Here is a 20676-nt window from a genome sequence, read left to right on the forward strand (position 1 = left end):
ATCAAGGACTACCCAGGTAGGGGAAGAGGGAAAAACCTGAAAAGGGCCTGTAGTTCTGAGGGCCACATGCAGAAGTGGTGGGTGTCCTCTCACCTGCTCCCAGGGCTGAGGGGTCTGCCTGCTCCCCTACAAGGGACTGCCTGGACTCCCACCGGCAGGCGCAGCCCTCAAAGCTCGAGGCTTTCATTGGAAGGGCTCCTGGGCAGGGAAAACGCAGAAAGAAGGGATCCTCAACCTCGGGCTCTGCGCCTTCCCCACCCCACTTCCTGGGAGGTGTGGTCTCTTTATGGCATGTTATCTCCGCCCCAAGCCCGGGGCCCTAGACCCTGAGCCGGGAAAACCAGAAGCTAGAAAGAGGGCATCCGGGTTGTGCAAATTTCAGACACACGGATATCCCGTGGCGCCTGCGTCCGGAGCCCGGCCCTGCTGCTGGACTGTCCCCGGCCACGCCCGCCGCCCCTCCCGCATCCTGGCCCCTTCCCCACCCGACGGAATCCCGGGGAGGCTGGAAGGTGGGTCCCCGCCCACACCGCCCTGGGCCCGCCCTGCCTGGCCGCGGCGCTTGGCCCAGTCCCGCGGTCCTCGTCGCGACCGGCCCGGGCCGCAGGACGCCGCGCTCGGGGGAGCTGAGCCACCTCTCCGCCAGGCCCGTGCGAGCGGGTGAGCGGGCCCCCCGGGCCCCACTGCCTCGGACGCGTCCCCTCCTCGCCCAGTCCCCTCTAGCGCTGTCGCAGACCTCCTGCCAGGGCCCCAGGTCTCCTCCCGCCTGGGCGGGCTCAGTGGCGGTGAGGATCTAGAAAAGTCTTCCTGTCCTGGTTCTGGGCTGCCCCGGGGCCTGGGGTGATGACCCGCAAGCCCAAGGGCGCTCGGACTCCTGGCCCGAAATTCCAGGGCGGACACAGCCCGGGATCCCAGCAGCCCCAACTCGGAGGAGCTCTGCCCCGGGGAGGGAGGGACAGCGGAGTGGAAACCAGATTCCGGGGCAGCACTGCGGGGATGGGCAGGGCGAGAGTACGGCATGAGGTCCCAGTTGCCTGTCCCAAACCCTTGCTGGTTTTGCAGTGAATATGGGGGGATAAGGGGAAGGGAGAGAGTGATTTGCCCCAGCCACCCCACCTCTGGGGCTGCCTCCCTCCTCCCTAGGCCAACCACAGGGTTGAGGGTTCCTCAGCCCCAAGCTCAAGCCTGCCCTTGCTGCTCTCTGCTGGACGGGAGCCCTTCTGCTGCCTGCCTGGGTCCAGGGCTCCAGCCCAGGAGCCTACTTGATATGGGAAGGAGGGAGGGGTCCCCAGGGCCTGCCTCATTTCCAGCCCGGGGCTCTCCCACCATGGGAGAAGAGCTGGGAAGAAGAAGAGGAGGCCCCCTCGACTCTGGACACCAGGCCCCTAACACGAGACCCCTGGATGAGAGCATCCGCTCTCCCGTGACCAGGCGTTCGAGCTCCAGGGGCAGGGAAAGGATTCCCAGGGCCTAGTGAGGCCCCTGTTATCAGATGAGGCGCCCTGAAAACATAGGCTGGGCTTGTGTGAGATGGGAGAAAGACCAGAAGTATCGTCTAAACTTCTCCCTGCCCACACATCCAGCTTCATGGCACTGTGCTACAAAGCTGGTCTCATTGGGCCTAGGGGTCTTTGAGAGCTGAGCTTGGCAGCCCCTGGGGCCCAACCTCACCCCTAGTCCCAGCAAGTGAGAGCGAAGCATCTTGCCCTGTCTACCTCCTTGCCCAAAGCACACACCAGGCAGTGACCATGACTCATGGTTCCCAGTACAAAGAAAAGAGCACTTCCCTGCTGGGGCAGAGGCCAAGCCAGAGCCCTGGCCCCATCACCTCTCTGCCCTGCTTGAGTCTGGAATGGACCTCCCTGCCTGGAAGCTGCATTGCCCTTGGTCCTGGGCCTGCCTGCCCCCTGGGGAACACAGGTGGGTCACATTCATCTCCTCTTTTGTGCTCAGCCAGAGGCTGGGTGAGGGTTCATGAACAGGTTCTTGCTTATAGTGTGGAAGGGGTAGCAGGGTGGGGGGTGACAATAAAGAAGGGGGTGATCCACTCCAGTGTGGTGTGAGGACCACTATTAAGGTGAGAAAACAGGCCAGGTGCGGTGTCTCACACCTGTAATCCCAGCACTTTGGGAGGCTGAGGCAGGCGGATCACTTGAGGTCAAGAGTTCAAGACCACCTGGCCGATATGGTGAAACCCCGTCTCTACTAAAAATACAAAAATTAGCCAGGCATAGTGGCGTGTGCCTGTAATCCCAGCTACTTCGGAGGCTGAGGCAGGAGAATTGCTTGAACCCGGGAGGCAGAGATTGCAGTGAGCTGAGATTGTACCACTGCACTCTAGCCTGGGAGACAGAGCGAAACTTCATCTCAGAAAAAAAAAAAAAAAAAAAAAGGCGAGAAAACAGGAAGGAGGTGCAGCCCAGCCTGGGGTGGGAGTCAGGTTAGCTCCCAGGATGCTGCTAGGGCTGAATCTTCTTTTAAGACTACTCAGGAGCGGTAGTAAGAAGGAGGGAAAGAGTAGAACAAGGAGATCGATCTGTACCTGCCTGTGAACAATTAACTGAAATTACTCACTACCTTTGCACCCGCCTAAGGGGTGAATTTTTTCTTTTTTTCTTTTTCTTTTTTGAGACAGAGTCTCACCGTCACCCAGGCTGGAGTGCAGTGACGTGATCTCGGCTCAGTGCAAACTCCGCCTCCTGGGTTCAAGGGATTCTCCTGCCTCAGCCTAGTTTTTTATTTGTAGTAGAGACAGGGTGTCACCATGTTGGCCAGGCTAGTCTTGAACTCCTGACCCCAGGTGAGCCGCCTGCCTCGGCCTCCCAAAATGCTGGGATTACAGGTGTGAGCCACCGTGTCTGGCAGGGCTGAATTTTGAAAGACCAGTTGACTGGAGAAACCGCTCGATGGGAGGGGAGGCTGGAGAGCCGACTGGGCATCCATACCGTGTATGTGACCTGGGACTTACTGGGAGTGGGAGAGGAGACAGGGAAGGCCATGTCTGCAGTGGGGGTCCCAGAGAGGCGGGGGAAGGGGGTCCTCAGACCTTGGTGGCAGAGTTTCTTTTCTTTTCTTTTCTTTTTTTTTTTTTTTGAGACGGAAGTCTCACTCTGTTGCCCAGGCTGGAGTGTAGTGATGCGATCTTGGCTCACCATAACCTCCGCCTCCCGGGTTCAAGCGATTCTCCTGCCTCAACCTCCCGAGTAGCTGCGACTACAGGCGAGCCCCACCACGCCCGGCTAATTATTGTATTTTTAGTAGAGACGGGGTTTCACTATGTTGGCCAGGCTGGTCTCGAACTCCTGACCTCGTGATCCGCCTGCCTCAGTCTCCCAAAGTGCTGGGATTACAGGTGTGAGCCACCGCACCCGGCCTGGCAGCAGAGCTTCTAGTGTGCAAAGGTGCATAAGGGTTCCTGGGCTCGGATTGGCCTGGGGCCTGGAGAGAGGAGATGGTCAGGAACAGCCAGCTCCACTGAAAGGTTCCGGAGGGAAGGTGGGATTCAGAGTGAAGGTCACAGGAGCCTGGGCAAAGTCCCCAAAAACACTGCCCCAAAAAGTGGATGCTGAGAAGAGCTCTTCTCATAGAAAGAGACTTCTCCATAGACTTCTTCCTGGCAGAGCAAGAAGGGACCAGAGCCAGGCAGTGGGGAGAGGGAGCAGGGCTGGGGTCCAGCCTCCAGGCCTCCCAAATGCTACCAGGGCCTCGGGGCCTGGGAGTGCCAGGGCTAGGTGGCAGGGAACAGGCAAAGGCAGGAGGAAGCCAGGAAGGCTGTGGCCTTTCCGGGAGGAAGAGGTGAGAGTATCAAGTGGGAGAGCGGAAGAGCTGGGGAGGAGAGGCGAGCTATGGAGCAGGGCTGGAACCTTGACATCGGGGCAACACAGAGGATCAGGTGGCGCCTGTGGCCTTTCCGTTTGCTGAGGGAACAGAAATCTTGGGAGAGGCCAGGGCTAGTTTGCTGGAGAAGCCCCATCTGCGATATTGCCTGGCCTGGAGCTGGGCCAGGAGGAGGGCCAGGCTGGGAGGATCTCTAGCCAGAGGTCGCATGCAGAGGGCAGGAGGGCAAGCAGTGCTCCGCCTTGCACATGGGTCACACACCCTCACACCCTGAGGCTGCGATGAATGGGACGGTCACCTTGGTGGGGCTCCCAGGGTCCTCTGGGAGGGCGGAGGATTGGAGACAGCAAAGGAGGCAGTTCAGAGTGGAGCCGGCTTAGGTGCTGCTTTAAAACTCCTAGGCCTGGAGGGAAGCAGTGGGGTGCTGGGCTTGGCAGGAAGAGGGGGTTTCATATTTCTGGTAGATGTCCGAGTTTCCCCAGAGCTTCCCAGGACCTGGGGTGAAAGGGAGGGAGGCTGTGGGAACAGCAGCTCCGGGATGCGTGGGCTTCACTGAGGTGGAGGCTGCTCCCTCGCAGTGCCTGCTGCAGCCTAGAGCCCCCAGGCGGTGAGGTCTGAGGGGGTTGGGGGGCCAGGGCGCAGGAGGCAGGATAGGAGGGGGTTGAAAAAGGGGTCCAAACTTGGTGAGGGGACCTTGGGACTTTGGAGGCCTGGTTATGGCAGCTTCTGTGATGAGGGGAGTGGCCTGGGTGGTGTTGAACTAAGATAGGACTGGCTGCACCTTGCTAAGCCAAAGATGTGAGGGGGGTGTGTGTGTGTGTGTGTGTGTGCACGCATGCGCAGATGTGCATGTCTGCACTGTGTGTGTCCGTATGTCTGTGTAGCATGTGTGACTCTGAGCATGTATGCATGTGTGTACATATGCGTGTGTCTCTCTGTGTTTGTGTGTAACTGTGTGTGTGTCTGCTAGTGTGTCTTGTGTACCTGCTTGTATGCCTCTGTGTGTGAGTTCGTATGTTTGCATTGTGTGTGACGGTACATATCTCTGTGTTCGTGTGAGTGTCTACGCATCTGTGTAGTATGTGTCTGTCAGTGTCTCTTCGTGTCTCTGGACTTTTTTGAGTGTCTAAGTGTGTGTCTTTTTTTTTTTTTTTGAGACAGAGTCTTGCTATGTCACTAGGCTGGAGTGCAGTGGCACGATCTCAGCTCACTGCAACCTCCGCCTCCTGGGTTCAAGCGATTCTCCTGCCTCAGCCTCCCGAGTAGCTGGGATTTTTGTATGTTTAGTAGAGACGGGGTTTCACCACGTTGGCCAGGATGGTCTCGATCTTCTGACCTCATGATCTGCCTGCCTCGGCCTCCCAAAGTGCTGGGATTACAGGCTTGAGCCATCGTGCCCGGCCAAGTGTGTGTCTTTATATGAGTTTGTGTGCCCGTGTGGTCTTTGTGTGGGTCAGTGGATCTCTGTGTGTGTGACTATCCAAGTGTGTGTCTCTGTGTGTGTGCGTGTGTCTGTATGTTTCTGTGCTTGTCTGTGTGAGTGTGCGCTGTGACTGTGTTTGTGTGTGACTGGGTATGTGTCTGTGTCTGTGTGCCACTGCGTGTGTGTGTGTGTGTGTGTGTGTGTGTGTGTGTGTGTTTATTATTCAGTGTGATTGCGGAACTTGAGTCTTGGCCTTGAGCTCTGTTTGAAAGGAGTGTTGCAGGGTAACTGCAAAGGGGCCGATGGGAAAGGCCTGGGGGTGTGGGGGTGGATGAGGCCCATGCTTTCTCCAAAGCTGCTGGTTGGGTGCTTGTTAAACTCCTTTGTGTATGCTCTGTGGCTGCTCCTAGCACCGGCCTGCTCACTCAGGCCTTCACAACAGCACCAATAGTAACTTTGCTGCTTCTGAGGCATTGCGAAAGTCTGTGTTTGTATGCAGGAACCCTGGGCAGGAGGGTGTATCCTTGGGTGCATTTGGGGGGCGTTGGGACTACACTGACCCCAGAGGTCTGCTGCATTCTACAAGTAGTGACTGAGTGGGCTAGGAGGTCCCCCTGTTGACTTCTAAGTGATGTAACAATTAGAGACAATTGTACCCCATTGCCTGGTGCCACCTGCCCTGCCCCGTCCTGTCCCTCCTATCCCTCCTGTCCCTCCTGTCCTTCCTGCCACCTCCTGCCAGGCTGGCTCTGGGAAGTGGGTGAAAGGAGATGCCAAGGCCAACGCGTGGGCCTCTGGCCACCTCCCAGGGGTGGTGCCCCTCTGTGACACCTGGTACTTGGGTATGAGGAAGGGATGGCTTAGCTGCCCAGAGAAGGTGGCAGGTGGGCCAGGAGAGACGGACAGCCTGCTGACCACCAGGCTCCATTCTGTCCCCTCCCCAGGCAGCAGCCACATTGGCAGTGAGGCCGTGGCAGCGTCGGCAGCAGAGGATGCCCCAGGCCCTGGAGCGTGCAGATGGCAGCTGGGCCTGGGTGGTGCTGCTGGCCACCATGGTGACCCAGGGCCTCACCCTGGGCTTCCCCACGTGTATCGGCATCTTCTTCACTGAATTGCAATGGGAGTTCCAGGCCAGCAACAGCGAGACCTCTTGGTTCCCCTCCATCCTCACGGCTGTGCTCCACATGGCAGGTGAGCGGCCTAGGGAGGGGCCGATGAGAAAGTCCTAGGGGTTGCGGGGAAGCCACAACCTCCCTGGCCTTCTGATTCCCTCTCTCTGAGGCCACAGGCTTTGCCTCCTGGGTGAATTCCTAAGGTTTCACCAGATTTCACCAGGGGCCCCTGGCTGGAATCCAGCTGGACTGGGCTGGAGCCGGGGAGAGAGTGGGGAGGTGCCTGGGTTGCAAAGCCAGGCGGAGCCTTGCGTCCTTTCTGTGGGATCCATTCCGACACAGGCGTAGGTGTGCTGGGGCGCTCAGTGCCAGGCTGGGAAGAGCGCTGGGGCCAGCCCACCAAGACTCTCCTGCTTTCCAGCTGGCTGGTCTCTCTGAACCTCGGTTGCTTCCTCTGCAATCTGAGGGTGATGCCCGGCATCCTGCCCAGCTCCCACATGGAATAGCAGGGAAGACCACTGTCTTCCCTGGAGGTGCTGGGAGCTGGGAAATGTATGCGGCTGTGAATTATTAATATTTTGGAGACCCTCACTAGGGCAGGGAGTGGCTTCAGGATAGGAAAGGGGACGCAAGGAAGACACCAGGAATGGCCGGGCGCGATGGCTTACGCCTGTAATCCCAGCACTTTGGGAGGCCGAGGCGGTCAGATCACCTGAGGTCGGGAGTTTGAGACCAGCCTGACCAACATGGAGAAACCCTGTCTCTACTGAAAATACAAAATTAGCTGGGCGTGGTGGCGGGTGCCTGTAATCCCAGCTACTCAGGAGGCTGAGGCAGGAGAATCTCTTGAACCCAGGAGGCAGAGGTTGCGGTGAGCTGAGATGGTGCCATTGCACTCCAGCCTGGGCAACAAGAGTGAAACTGTCTCAAAAAAAAAAAAAGACACCAGGAACAAGAGGGGGACAAGGCAGGAGCCCCAGCTCTCCCGGGACTCCCTGCAGAGAGGAGGTTGCTAAGTGGGGGTGAGGGAGGAAGGCAGCCCCTGTCTGCCCCTTCTCCTGGCTCTGTCACCATAGGCCTCAGAGGCCCATGTTCCTGGCTGGCTTTTCCAGGAGTGTGACTGCCTCACCCTGACCCCAGCGTTGGGAGCAGGGCAGAGGGAGGGTTCTCTGCAGTCGCCGTGGACACAGGGACCTGCCCTCAGCTCCTGGGAGCTCTCCAGGGAGACTGCAGAGACCCCGGCCTCGGAGGGGCCCGGTGGACAGCAGCCCGAGCTGATGGCCCACAGGCCTCTGCAGGCGTGTGTCTGCTGGCCGCAGCTGCCCATCTCCCCGGCTACCTCCTGGCTACTCCCTCCACTTGCCACCAGCAGCCTGCCTATTATTCCAGGTCCTGCCCTCAAACTGGGAGGGAGGTGAGGCTCGGAGAAAGCGCCACCCTCCTGGGTGAGCTCTGAATCTGCCACATGGCCTCTGGCCTGCAGGGTTGGGGCAGGGAGTGGGAATCCCAGAGGGCTGCTTCTCACACAGGCAGAGCAGGGTTCCTGGGCCAGGGGCTAGGAACCGGGCACCCGGCGGGGAACCTACTCCCCAGCTGACTTGCGGCTCACCACCCCCAGCAGGCATCTCAGCATCTCCATCAGCATGGGATTCCTGGCTGGCCATCTCTCTCATGTACACATACACGTGTATGAGCCCGTGCTCATTCAGAGTACTGTAGACATTTTATTTTATGTTTATTTATTTATTTGCTTATTTTTGAGACAGAGTCTCACTCTGTCACCTGGGCTGGAGTGCAGTGGCATGATCACAGCCTATTGCAGCCTTAACCTCTCAAGCTCAAGCGATCCTGCCACCTCAGCCTCCCGAGTAGCTGGGACCACAGGTGTGCACCACCACACCCAGCTAATTTTTTTTTTTTTTAGATGGAGTCTCGCTCTGTTGCCCAGGCTGGAGTGCAGTGGTGCAATCTCAGCTCGCTGTAACCTCCGCCTTCCAGGTTCAAGCGATTCTCCTGCCTCAGCCTCCTGAGTAGCTGGGACTACAGGTGCGCACCACCATGCCTGGCTAATTTTTTGTATTTTTAGTAGAGACGGGGTTTCACCGTGTTAGCCAGGATGGTCTCGATCTCCTGACCTCATGATCTGCTGGCCTTGGCCTCCCAAAGTGCTGGGATTACAGGTGTGAGCCACCACGCCCAGACCATACCCAGCTAATTTTTTTACTTTTTGTAGAGACGGGGTCTCACTATGTTGCTCAGGCTGGTCTCAAACTCCTGGGCTCAAGTGATCTACCTGCCTGGGCCTCTCAAAATGCTGGGATTACAGACATGAGCCACGGCACCTGACCACAGTATTGTAGAAATTTTTAAACACGATGAATCATGGATACTTTCACTGATCCTTTCAAGTGCCCCTGCCCCTACCTACGCCTTTTAGAGGTAAGGAAAGCAAGCAGGCACAGAACACAAGACCTGCCCAAGGCTGAAGAGTGAGTTCACGGCAGAGGAAACACCCTGTGTCCCGCCCGGCCACACCACCCTCAGCTATGCAGCTCTGGCCTGCAGCCCAGTCCCCACCCCCACCCCTGTGACTAAGGGCTTTCCCCAATGTCAACTTCCCTAAGTCAGGCCAGAGTCTCTGGCGTGAGGAAGCTCTGTGGGTCAGTCCTCTCCAGAGCCACCTCCCCCTCTACAGGGGCAGAGACGCCGGGCCACCAGCCTCTGCTTGATTATGTCTGCGACGGGCTGCTCACTTAGTCTGTCACTTGCTTTTTTCTTTTTTTTTTTTTTCGGAGATGGAGCCTCCCTCTCTCACCCAGGCTGGAGTGTAGTGGCACAGTCTCGGCTCACTGCAACCTCCACCTCCCGGGTTCAAGCGATTCTCCTGCCTCAGCCTCCCTAGTAGCTTGGAATTACAGGCATGCGCCACCACACCTGGCTAATTTTTGTATTTTTAGTAGAGATGGGGTTTTACCATGTTAGCCAGGCTGGTCTCGAACTCCTGACTTCAGGCGATCCACCTGCCTCGGCCTCCCAAAGTGCTGGGATTACAGGCGTGAGCCACCACGCATGGCCACTCCATCACTTTTTTTTTTTTTTTTTTTTTTTGAGATGTAGTTTCACTCTGTCGCCCAGGATGGAGCGCATCGGGTTCTGCCTCCCAGGTTCAAGCGATTCTCCTGCCTCAGCCTCCCAAGTAGCTGGGATTACAGGCACGCACCACCATGCCTGGCTAATTTTTGTATTTTTAGTAGAGATGGGGTTTCACCATGTTGGTCAGGCTGGTCTCGAACTCCTGACCTTAAGTGATCCACCCACCTCGGCCTCCCAAAGTACTGGGATTACAGGCGTGAGCCACCACACCCAGCCTACTCTGTCACTTTTATACTCACACTGGCTCACACCACACATCCCCCCTCCACCGCAGACACACACAAGCATCTCATGCGCACACACTTCCCTGTCCCTTTAGTTGCACTCTCGGAGAGTAAGTTAGAGAAGCTCCACATGTGCTTGGGTGAATGGGGCCCCTGTGAGGTGCCAAGGAGCAGTCTGCAGCTCTTTTCTATTTTTTTGGGGTGTGGATTGGTGAGAAAGCAGCTGGGAGCCAGGCAAGGAACAGGCCCCCCTCCACATTGAGCCAAACCTCTAGGTGCAGACTTTGGTGGTGCTGGAGGTGGTGTGGGAGGGGAGAACCTACCCTGCCTGATTGTCTGCAGAGGCCAGTGCAAGGAGGCGCAGAGGGGCCCAGGGTTCCCCTCAGCTGTAGGGCTGGGAAGGTGGTGGGAGGGTGGGAGGGATCTAGCCAGTCTTCCTGAGGATGTTGGGTGTGGGGATGGGGCAGGTAAAACAGGATCTGAAGGTGCACACTGTAGTCTAGATGTCCTGGAACACTGCCCCGACTCCTCCCACCAACAGACCCCCAGCGAAGTGGGGGAGGTAAACTCATGAACCAATCCTGTTTCACCCGGATAGAATGAGCAGCCTCAGGTCTGTGTAGTTCAGGGTCTTGCTCCACCTTTCAGGGAATCCTCATCAGGGTCAAACATCGCCCATTCTGAATCCTCACTTTGTAGGGGAAAAAATTGAGGCACGGAGAGGGATCAGGCTTTGCTCAGGCCACATGGCCAGTCCATGGCAGGTGGGTATCAGAATCCAGGCCTGCTCGTGCCCTTGAAACCACCTGGCTAGTTCCAGCTGGAACTGCCCTCTCCAGCCACTCTCCTCCTCTCCCGCCACCTCCTCATTCAGCTGCTACCTGCTGGCTGTCTTCTCCCACAGGGCCCCTGTGCAGCATCCTGGTGGGACGCTTCGGCTGCCGAGTGACCGTGATGCTGGGGGGCGTGCTGGCCAGCCTGGGCATGGTGGCCAGCTCCTTCTCTCACAACCTCAGCCAGCTCTACTTCACAGCAGGATTCATCACAGGTGACTATCACTTCATCTCCAGAATTTATAGGCACCTGCTAGAAAGTGCCAGGCACAAGTGGACAGGGCAGGCAGGCCTCTTAATCTTCTGGAACTGCTGGCTGGGTGCGGTGGCTCACACCTGTTATCCCAGCACTTTGGGAGGCTGAGGCGGGCAGATCACCTGAGGTCAGGGGTTCGAGACTAGCCCGGCCAACATGGTGAAACCCTGTCTATACTAAAAAAAATACAAAAATTAGCCAGGCTTGGTGGCGGGCCCCTGTAGTCCCAGCTACTCGAGGCTGAGGCAGGAGAATCGCCCGGGAAGTGGAGGTTGCAGTGAGCCAAGATCGCACCACTGTACTCCAGCCTGGGCAACAGAGCAAGACCCCATCTCAAAAACACAAAAAACAAAGTGCTGGGATTACAGGTGTGAGCCCATCATGCCCAGCCCTTTCACGGCATTTTGTTTTAAGGGGACTGGAGGAACAGACTATACCCAGAAGTGGTTATGAGGTCAAGACAGGCTTTTTTTGTTTGTTTGTTTGTTTGTTTTTAATGGGAGAAATAACGAAGGAGAAGGATCTAGGAAAGAAGAGAAAAAGGATGATGCAGGAGAGAGGGGACTTGCTAGAGGGGTGCCTCTGAGTGGAGAGGATGCAGGGCAGAAGGGAGGGACAGCCACTGGGGGAATGGGCAAGCCATTGTCACTGGCTAGCAGGCATGTGGGCAGCTGAGCATAAGGATAGGGAGGAGGTGTTGGGGGGCACAGAGGAAGACACCGGTAGTCACCTAGCAGGGCAGGCAAGGCATGATTGAGGGAGCTGTAGTGGCGTCACAGGCAGCCTGAGGGCCCGCCTGAGGCCACGGTCACACATGATTGAGAACTTTTTCTCCAGCATGCTCAGGTGTGCAGGTGCAGACACTGAGTGGGTGGGGAGCGGGGAAGGCCCCTCTGGAGAGGTGGCGTCTGAACTGAGAGGAGAGTGGAAAGTCTGGAGGAAGCAGATTCCAAGAAGGAACAGCAGCTACAAATAACCCGAGGTAGGGGCAGCTTCATGTCCAGAGGCAGAGAAAGAAGTTCCTGTGTCTTGATCCTAATGAGTGACAGGGAGCAGCCTGAGATGGCATCTGAGAGGCGGGCTGGAGCCGGACCACAGAGAGCCTTCCAGGGCATTGTGGAGACTGTGGATTTTTTGTCAAGTGTGATGGGAAGTCTTTGGAAGGTGTTAAGCCAAGAGAGACTTAATCCAATTTGGGGTTTGTTTGTTTTTGAGACAGAGTCTCACTCTGTTGCCCAGGCTGGAGTGCAGTGGCACAATCTCAGCTCACTGCAACCTCCACAACCTCAGCTCACTGCAACCTCCACTTCCCGGGTTCAAGTGATTCTCCTGACTCAGCCTCCTAGGTAGCTATTACAGACTACAGGCGCCTGCCACTAAGCCTGGCTAATTTTTTTGTATTTTTAGTAGAGATGGGGTTTCACCATGTTGGTCTCGAACTCCTGACCTCAAGTGATCCGCCAACCTTGGCCTCCCAAAGTGCTGGGATTACAGGCGTGAGCCACCGCGCTCGGCCCAATTTGGGTTTTTAAAAGATAACTCTCGTGCTACACCTAGGGGAACAGGGATGCCCTGGCAGCCTTGGGAGGGCAGATCTGGGGTGGGGTGCCTACAGGGAGGTGGCGAGGCCAGCTGATTCCATGGTCAGTCCCCAGGGACTTGGAGCTGGGTATGGACTAGAACCAGAGGAGGGCAGGTGTGTGAAATGACCACTGACCCCACCCCTGGGTGCAGGTGGAAGGCCCCAGTGCGCCTCCAGGCTGGTTTCCCCTCTTGCCCCGCAGGCCTGGGCATGTGCTTCAGCTTCCAGTCAAGCATCACGGTGCTGGGCTTCTACTTTGTCCGCCGGCGGGTGCTGGCCAACGCGCTGGCCTCGATGGGCGTCTCCCTGGGCATCACCCTCTGGCCGCTGCTCTCCCGCTACCTTCTGGAGAACCTGGGCTGGAGGGGTACCTTCCTTGTCTTCGGCGGGATCTTTCTCCACTGCTGCATCTGCGGGGCCATCATAAGGCCTGTGGCCACCAGTGTGGCCCCTGAGACCAAAGAATGTCCCCCGCCACCTCCCGAGACACCTGCACTTGGCTGCCTGGCTGCATGCGGCCGGACCATCCAGCGCCACCTGGCCTTCGACATCCTGCGGCACAACACAGGCTACTGCGTGTACATACTGGGTGTGATGTGGTCCGTCCTGGGCTTCCCACTGCCACAAGTCTTCCTGGTGCCATATGCCATGTGGCACAGCGTGGACGAGCAGCAGGCAGCCCTCCTCATCTCCATCATCGGCTTCAGCAACATCTTCCTGAGGCCCCTAGCCGGGCTGATGGCAGGACGGCCGGCCTTTGCTAGCCACCGCAAGTACCTGTTCAGCCTGGCACTCCTGCTCAATGGGCTCACTAACCTGGTGTGTGCGGCATCAGGTGACTTCTGGGTGCTCGTGGGCTACTGCCTGGCGTACAGCGTGTCCATGAGTGGCATCGGCGCCCTCATCTTCCAGGTTCTCATGGACATCGTCCCCATGGATCAGTTCCCCAGAGCCCTGGGACTCTTCACTGTCCTGGACGGCCTTGCTTTCCTCATCTCCCCACCACTGGCCGGTGAGGAGCTGGGAGGGAGGGCAGCCAGATAGTGTGGTAAAAGGGGAACAGTTTAGACAGATCTGGGCCCAGTCCAGCATCTCCAGAGGTTGTGCTACAGCTGGTTTCCAACCTGGCACTCAGAGTATGAACAGTTAAAAACATGGGTTTGGCCCGGCGCGGTGGCTCATGCCTGTAATCCCAGCACTTTGGGAGGCCGGGGCGGGCAGATCATGAGGTCAGGAGATCGAGACCATCCTGGCCAACATGGTGAAACCCCGTCTCTACTAAAAATACAAAAAAATTAGTTGGGCGTTGTGATGGGCGCCTGTAGTCCCAGCTACTCGGGAGGCTGAGGCAGGAGAATGGCATGAACACAGGAGGCAGAGCTTGCAGTGAGCTGAGATTGCGCCACTGCACTCCAGGCTGGGCAACAAAGCGAGACTCCGCCTCAAAAAGAAAAAAAAAAAAGCATGGGTTTGTGACCAGGTGCGGTGGCTCACGCCTGTAATCCCAGCACTTTGGGAGGCTGAGGCGGGTGGATCACGAGGTCAGGAGATCGAGACCAACATGGCTAACGTGGTGAAACCCCATCTCTACTAAAAATACAAAAAAATTAGCTGGGTGTGGTGGCGGGCACCTGTAAATCCCAGCTACTTGGGAGGCTGACACCAGAGAATCGTTTGAACCCAGGAGGCAGAGGTTGCAGTGAGCTGAGATCACGCCACTGCACTCCAGCCTGGGTGACAGAGTGAGACTCCATCTGAAAAAAAAAAAAAAAAAAAAAAAAGCATGGGTTTGTGTACCAAACCTCAGTCCTCCATCATCCTCCCTGTACCTCCTTTTTCCTTTTTGTTGAGACAAGGTCTTGCTCTGTCACCCAGGCTGGAGTGCAGTGGTGCAATCACAGCTCACTGCAGCCTCAACCTGCCAGACTCAAGTGATCTTCCCACCTCAGCCCCCCAAGTAGCTGGGACTGCAGGCACATGCCACCACACCCAGCTAATTTTTATATTTTTTATAGAAATGGGGTTTCACCATGTTGCTCAGGCTGCTCTCAAACCCCTAGGCTCAAGTGATCTGCCTCCCTCAGCCTCCCAAAGTGCTGGGATTACAGGTGTGAGCCATTGCGCCTGGCCACTTCCTTTTTCCTATCAGTAAAGTGGGGATAAATAGAATCTACCTCCAAGGAAAGAGCTTAGGAGAGAGTCTGGTGTGCAGTCAGCATCCTGCAGAGTTTCCTGTAATGATCATCCCAGTTCTCCTGCTTCCTGCCTGTGGGACCCAGGCAAGTCTTTTTCCCTTTTTGAGCCACAGTGCCATCTGCAAAATGCAGACGAGAGCACCTGCCCTAATCATTTATTCACCTCTGCCAGCCTCTGGGTGTGCATGGGGATCAAAAGGTCTCCATTCCCAGCCTGACCAACATGGTGAAACCCCATCTCTACTAAAAATACAAAAAATTAGCCGGGTGTGGTGGTGTGCGTCTATAATCCCAGTTACTTGGGAGGCTGAGGCAGGAGAATTGCTTAAACCCGGGAGGTGGAGGTTACAGTGAACCAAGATCACACCACTGCACTCCAGCCTGGGCGACAGAGTGAAACTCCAACTCGAAAAAAATAAAAGGTCCCCATCCCCTGGGGGATTACCTTCTAGGGCAGGAGTCAGGAGTGAAAACAAAGAGACACATCAGCAACCATCCTGGTGATTTATGATGCGAGGGAAACCAAATAGGGAAGTAGAGGTGCACGTGAGAGGCAGCTGAGAGTGTGAGATTCTGAGCAAATGAGGGCAGGTTTGTAAAGCCCTCGGTACCGGGGAGCAGTCAGACAACACAAGGCGGCGGTTATTAGAGTAGATCCGGGAGGTTGAGTTCAGCCCAATGGGGACTCCGTCCAAGTGTGGCGTTGGAAGGCCCAGTTTCCAAGGGAATTCTTTTTTCTTTTTTTTTTTTTGAGGCAGAGTCTCGCTCTGTCATCCAGGCTGGAGTGCAATGGTGTGATCTCAGCTCACTACAACCTCTGCCTCCCAGGTTCAAGCAATTTTCCTGCCTCCTCTTCCCTAGTAGCTGGGATTACAGGCACGCGCCACACGCCCGGCTAATTTTTTTTTTTGAGACAGAGTCTCGCTCTATTGCCAGGCTGGAGTGCAGTGGCGTGATCTCAGCTCACTGCAACCTCTGCCTCCTGGGTTCAAGCAATCCTCCTGCCTCAGCCTCCAGAGTAGCTGGGACTACAGGTGCGTGCCACCACACTCGGCTAATTTTTGTATTTTTAGTAGAGATGGGGTTTCACTGTATTGGCCAGGCTGTTCTCGAACTCCTGACCTCGTGATCTGCCGGCCTCGGCCTCCCAGAGTGCTGGGATTACAGGTGTGAGCCACCGCTCCCTGCCTTAGTTTTTGTATTTTTAGTGGAGACAGGGTTTCACCATGTTGGCCAGGCTGGTCTCGAACTCCTGACCTCGTGATCCACCTGCCTCAGCCTCCTAAAGTGCTGGGATTACAGGCGTGAGCCACTGTGCCCATCCAAGGGAATTCTTTTTTTTTTTTTTTTAATGGAGTCTCACTCTGTTGCCCAGACTGGAGTGCAGTGGTACGATCTTGGTTCACTGCAACCTCTGCCATCCAGGTTCAAGTGATTCTCCTACCTCAGCCTCTCAAGTAGCTGGGATTACAGGTACCTGCCCCCACACCTGTCTAATTTTTGTAGTTTTGGTAGGAACAGGGTTTCACCATCTTGGCCAGGCTGGTCTTGAACTCCTGACCTTGTGATCTACCCACCTCAGCCTCCCAAAGTGCTGGGATTACAGGCGTGAGCCACCGTGTCAGGCCCCAAGGGAATTCTTTAAGCAAACAAGTGGGGAGAGCTCTTCAGAAGGAGGCATAGGTGAGACCTGGAGGGTGGGTGAGCAAATATCCCAGACTCCACTAGTTCCCTACCACCACATGCCCTTAAGTTCTCTTGCAGCCTGAGGACTCTTCCTGCCCAGGCCAGAGGAGGTTGTGTTTCTTCCCCTCCTTTCATTCTTCAAGTATCTGTTGAGTGTCTACTGGGTGTCAGCCACAATTCCTAGTACAGCAGAGACAAAAATAAAATACCTGCTGTCAGGGAACACACAGCTGAGTTGGGGGGAGGCCTGGTAGCACTGGCCTAACTTGATCTCTGTTCCCCAGGGTTGCTCCTGGACGCCACCAACAACTTTAGCTATGTTTTCTACATGTCCAGCTTCTTCCTCATCTCAGCTGCCCTCTTCATGGGTGGCAGCTTCTACGCCCTGCAGAAGAAGGAGCAAGGCAAGCAGGCTGTCGCGGCGGATGCCCTGGAGCGGGATCTTTTCTTGGAAGCCAAAGACGGTCCTGGGAAGCAACGGTCCCCTGAGATCATGTATGTAACCAGCGTCTAAGACCCAGGGTTCATCTGTGTGACCAGTGTCTGAGTCCTGGGATCACTGAGTGAACACTGTCTCAGCCCAGCCCAGGAGGGGGACCTCTAGCTCCTTCACCAGGGGCTTGGGTGAAGAGTAGCCCAGGAAGCCCGGGCTGTCCAGGCTCTGCAAGCTGGGACTCTGCCAGGAGCTGGGACTTTGGAGGCTGGCCTCTGAAGATGCCCTGAGAAACTCTTTTTTTTTTTTTTTTTTTTTGAGGCGGAGTTTCACTCTTGTTGCCCAGGCTGGAGTGCAGTGGCACCATCTCGGCTCACTGCAACCTCTGCCTCCCAAGTTCAAGGGATTCTCCTGCCTCTGCCCCCCAAGTTCAAGCGATTCTCCTGCCTCTGCCCCCCAAGTAGCTGAGATTACAGGCATGCGCCACCACTCCCGGCTAATTTTGTCTTTTAGTAGAGATGGGGTTTCTCTATGTTGGTCAGGCTGGTCTCCAACTTCCGACCTCAGGTGATCTGCCCACCTCAGCCTCCCAAAGTGCTGGGATTACAGGCGTGAGCCACCGTGCCCAGCCAGAGGAACCCTTTTCTAACAACTAGCGGAATCCAGGAGCAGGCCCTCCGGACTTTTTTCCTTGGGTACCAGGGTACTCGGGGCCCAGGAACCTGGGTCTGAGCCCTGCTCAGGTTTGTCCCAGCCGGCTCAGCGCAGCTGGCTGTGTGTTGCTGCTCCTACAGCTCAATGCACTGGACCTTCTCGTCCAGCCTGGATGCCTCTATCATTTCTCTTTGTCTTTCTCTGGCCTCCATACCGTTCTGAAGAGCTCACCTTCCTCTAGGTTCCTCCTGCCCTGCTCTTCCCAAGTGACCCAGCCCTCACCTGTAGGGCAGCCAAGGCTGGTGGTGCAGCTGCCCCCAGTGAAGGTCATTGGGCCTCGCACTGGGCAGTGCAGAGGTCCAGGCTGAGGAGTTGAGTGGCGCGCCCATCCTGGCGCCTGTGCAGAGAACGGGAGGGGGGCCCCTGGCTTGGATCCTAGAATCGGTGAAGTCTGAGGGCCCCCCTGCAGTCTCAGCAGGACCTGCTCTATCAAGGGGCTTCCTCCTTCCTTTCCCCACCCTGTCTCCTTGGCGGGGAGGATTAGTGCCAGGTGGGGGAAGCCAGACATTTGACTGACGGGAGAGGAAGGCTTGCCAGGCAGCCCGAAGACTGTTGTGAAAATGGGGCTGCTTTTGCAAGGGAAGCTCTTTTACTCCCCATTCCTGTCCTCCAGAGGCCCCCCTTTTCCCTGCCGTGTTATTGGTGTCAACCCTGGGGTAAGTGGCTGGCTGGACTCACCCCTGCTCCCCGTACACCTGTGCCTGTGACTGGCGGTCCAAGCTCCCCACACACACATCTTGCTGGTGCCTTTCCCTGAAGTCACCACCCAGGGGCTGGCTGTCATCAGCCCATTCTTGTCCCAGCAGGGTACCGAGGGAATGATAAAACAGAATGTGTTTGAATTACACACAAAAATGTTCCCTGCAGCAGGTCATAAACTCTGTGAACTAATGAAGCTGACAAACAGAGCTGGAGTACGTTTCCCCTCACCCTTCCTTTCCTCCTAGCTCAGCAAGGGGTGCTCAGGTTCAGGATGTTGTTTGTTGATTCAGGCTCAACCAGGCTCCGCAAGAAAACCTTATCAGGAGATTTTATTTTCATGAACAGGTGCCAGTCTTCCCGCCAGCCACGTCCAGCTGGCGTCAATAAGCATCTTTGGGGATGTCCTGCCTCCTCCAGGACCAGCCATGAGTGGCTCTTATGGCCAAAGGCGGTACTGCAGGCCAAGCAAACGGCTCTGGGCTGGAATAGCCCTACCTGAGTGCCCTGTTTGACTCCGCCACTATCTGCCATGTGAGTTGGGCAAATTGTTGACCACCTCTGAGCCTTGAAAAAGTAGGAGGTTACTTTGTTAGAGCAAAATAATAAAATTTAATTTTAAAAAAGAAAACGTAGGAGGTTGGTTTGGATGAGCTAGTCTCTTCCGGTTGAAAAGTCTGACTCGGTGAGCATCCTGACGACTCCATTTCCTTCTGGCTCCCCACCCAGTCTTACACTTGGCTGCCATCAATACCACATGCTCTGAAGGGAGAGTGCTTGCATGGACTTTGCCAAATCCTGTCTGCTCCATCTCAGTTGAATGGAAAAGGAGGGAGGTGGGGCTGGTAGATAGGTGCTTTTGGTGCTAGTATCCACCAGGTTTTGTGTGCATCCCGTAATGAGCCCACTTCCTGAAAACATTTAAAGAAAAAAGATATCAGCTGGAGATGGCAGTGCGCACATGTAATCCCAGCTACTCGGGAGGTTGAGGTGGGAGGATCACTCAAACCTGGGAGTTTGAGGCCAGCCTGGGCAACACAGCAAGACCCTGTCTTTTTTTTAAAAAAAAAAAAAAAAAAAAGGCTGGGTGTGGTGGCTCACGCCTGTAATCCCAGCACTTTGAGAGGCCAAGATGGGTGGGTCACTAGAGGTCAGGAGTTCAAGACCAGCCTGGCCAACATGGCAAAACCCCAGCTCTACTAAAAATACAAAAATTAGCCAGGCGTGGTAGCAGTCGCCTGTAATCCCAGCTACTTGGGAGGCTGAGGCAGGAAATTTGCTTGAACTGGAGAGGAAGAGGTTGTGGTGAGCTGGGATCACGCCACTGCACTACAGCCTGGGTGATGGAATGAGACTCGTCTCAAAAAACAAACAAACAAAAAAAACACTTTGGGAGGTCAGAGCAGGAGGATCGCTTGAGACCAGGACTTCAAGACCAGCCTGGGCAACATAGAGACCCTGTCTCTACAGAAAAATTAAGGAAAGGGAAAAAAAAAAAGCCAAGTGTGGTGGATCATGCCTGTAATCCCAACACTTTGGAAGGCCAAGATGGGAGAATCACTTGAGAGGCCACCCTGGGCCACATAAGGAGACCTCCATCTCTACAAAAAATTTAAAACTTAGCTGGACATGGTGGCACAGGCCTGTAGTCCAAGCCACTCAGGAGGCAGAGGTGGGAGGATCCCTTGAGCCAAGAAGCTCAAGGTTGCAGTAAGCTGTGATCACACCACTGCACTCCAGCCTGGGTGACAGAGACCTTGTCCCCCCTTCCCAAAAAAAAAAAAGGTATCAATGAATGTTCTGCATAGGAAACTTTCATCTCACCTGCTCCTAGGCAAGAATAGCAATCATCTCTGGGCAGAATTCCTTCAATAAATATTTACTGAGTATCTACTGTGTGCCAGAGACTGGGCAGAGGTAAGACCTACCAAGGGCTGAGAATTCCACCCCAAGGAGGGCCCCTCCCTGAGGCCTTAAGAAGGGAGAAGACTGGCTGGGTGCGGTGGCTCATGCCTGTAATCCCAGCACTTTGGGAGGCTGAGACAGGTGGATCACGAGGTCAAGATATCGAGACCATCCTGGCCAACAAGGTGAAACCCCATCTCTGCTAAAAATACAAAAATTAGGCCGGGCGCAGTGGCTCACGCCTGTAATCCCAGCACTTTGGGAGGCCAAGGCGGGTGGATCACGAGGTCAGGAGATCGAGACCATCCTGGCTAACACGGTGAAACCTCGTCTCTATTAAAAATACAAACATTAGCCGGGCGTCGTGGCGGGTGCCTGTAGTCCCAGCTATTCAGGAGGCTGAGGCAGGAGAATGGCGTGAACCTGGGAGGCGGAGCTTCCAGTGAGCTGAGATCGCACCACTGCACTCCAACCCGGGTGACAGAGCGAGACACTGTCTCAGAAAAAAAATACAAAAATTAGCTGGGTGCAGTGGTGCGTGCCTGTAATCCCAGCTACTCGGGAGGCTGAGGCAGGAGAATCACTTGAATCTGAGGCGGAGGTTGTAGTGAGCCGAGATCGCAC

The 20676-nt window shown here is 55.8% G+C and overlaps 1 protein-coding gene across 20 annotated transcripts in view, besides 5 other annotated features; it reads left to right on the forward strand.

Annotated features, from left to right (window-relative positions):
• The window catches only part of SLC16A5 (solute carrier family 16 member 5), a 22765-nt gene continuing 2089 nt past the window's right edge, over positions 1-20676 (forward strand). Inside the window, exons 1-7 of one of the 20 annotated variants that reach the window (NM_001271765.2) lie at positions 381-512; positions 1767-1920; positions 6205-6451; positions 10654-10797; positions 12623-13432; positions 16586-16796; positions 18496-18778. In NM_001271765.2, coding sequence (NP_001258694.1) covers positions 6253-6451; positions 10654-10797; positions 12623-13432; positions 16586-16796; positions 18496-18649 — 1518 coding nt within the window. In that variant the 5' untranslated portion in view covers positions 381-512; positions 1767-1920; positions 6205-6252 and the 3' untranslated portion in view covers positions 18650-18778. Of the gene's footprint in view, positions 17-380; positions 513-569; positions 1921-2742; positions 2949-4099; positions 4218-5941; positions 6103-6204; positions 6452-10653; positions 10798-12572; positions 13433-16585; positions 16797-18495; positions 18779-20676 lie in introns of those variants that run through there. The other 19 variants (NM_004695.4, XM_047437035.1, XM_047437027.1 and 16 more) reach the window with 19 other exon arrangements.
• Positions 300-829: a silencer, noted in NCBI's record as "silent region_8954". NCBI's record gives its function as "represses an Ori minimal core promoter by ATAC-STARR-seq in GM12878 lymphoblastoid cells {active_cell/tissue: GM12878}" and the evidence as "EXISTENCE:reporter gene assay evidence [ECO:0000049][PMID:35858748]".
• Positions 5820-6393: an enhancer, noted in NCBI's record as "H3K27ac-H3K4me1 hESC enhancer chr17:73089299-73089872 (GRCh37/hg19 assembly coordinates)". NCBI's record gives its function as "activates a minimal SCP1, AML or CMV promoter by ChIP-STARR-seq in primed H9 embryonic stem cells {active_cell/tissue: H9 hESC(primed)}" and the evidence as "EXISTENCE:reporter gene assay evidence [ECO:0000049][PMID:30033119]".
• Positions 6394-6966: an enhancer, noted in NCBI's record as "H3K27ac-H3K4me1 hESC enhancer chr17:73089873-73090445 (GRCh37/hg19 assembly coordinates)". NCBI's record gives its function as "activates a minimal SCP1, AML or CMV promoter by ChIP-STARR-seq in naive H9 embryonic stem cells {active_cell/tissue: H9 hESC(naive)}" and the evidence as "EXISTENCE:reporter gene assay evidence [ECO:0000049][PMID:30033119]".
• Positions 17305-17805: an enhancer, noted in NCBI's record as "H3K4me1 hESC enhancer chr17:73100784-73101284 (GRCh37/hg19 assembly coordinates)". NCBI's record gives its function as "activates a minimal SCP1, AML or CMV promoter by ChIP-STARR-seq in primed H9 embryonic stem cells {active_cell/tissue: H9 hESC(primed)}" and the evidence as "EXISTENCE:reporter gene assay evidence [ECO:0000049][PMID:30033119]".
• Positions 17806-18306: an enhancer, noted in NCBI's record as "H3K4me1 hESC enhancer chr17:73101285-73101785 (GRCh37/hg19 assembly coordinates)". NCBI's record gives its function as "activates a minimal SCP1, AML or CMV promoter by ChIP-STARR-seq in primed H9 embryonic stem cells {active_cell/tissue: H9 hESC(primed)}" and the evidence as "EXISTENCE:reporter gene assay evidence [ECO:0000049][PMID:30033119]".

The sequence above is a fragment of the Homo sapiens genome, chromosome 17 (genome assembly GCF_000001405.40).
Source record: "Homo sapiens chromosome 17, GRCh38.p14 Primary Assembly".
In the NCBI taxonomy this organism is placed as follows: Eukaryota; Metazoa; Chordata; class Mammalia; order Primates; family Hominidae; genus Homo; species Homo sapiens.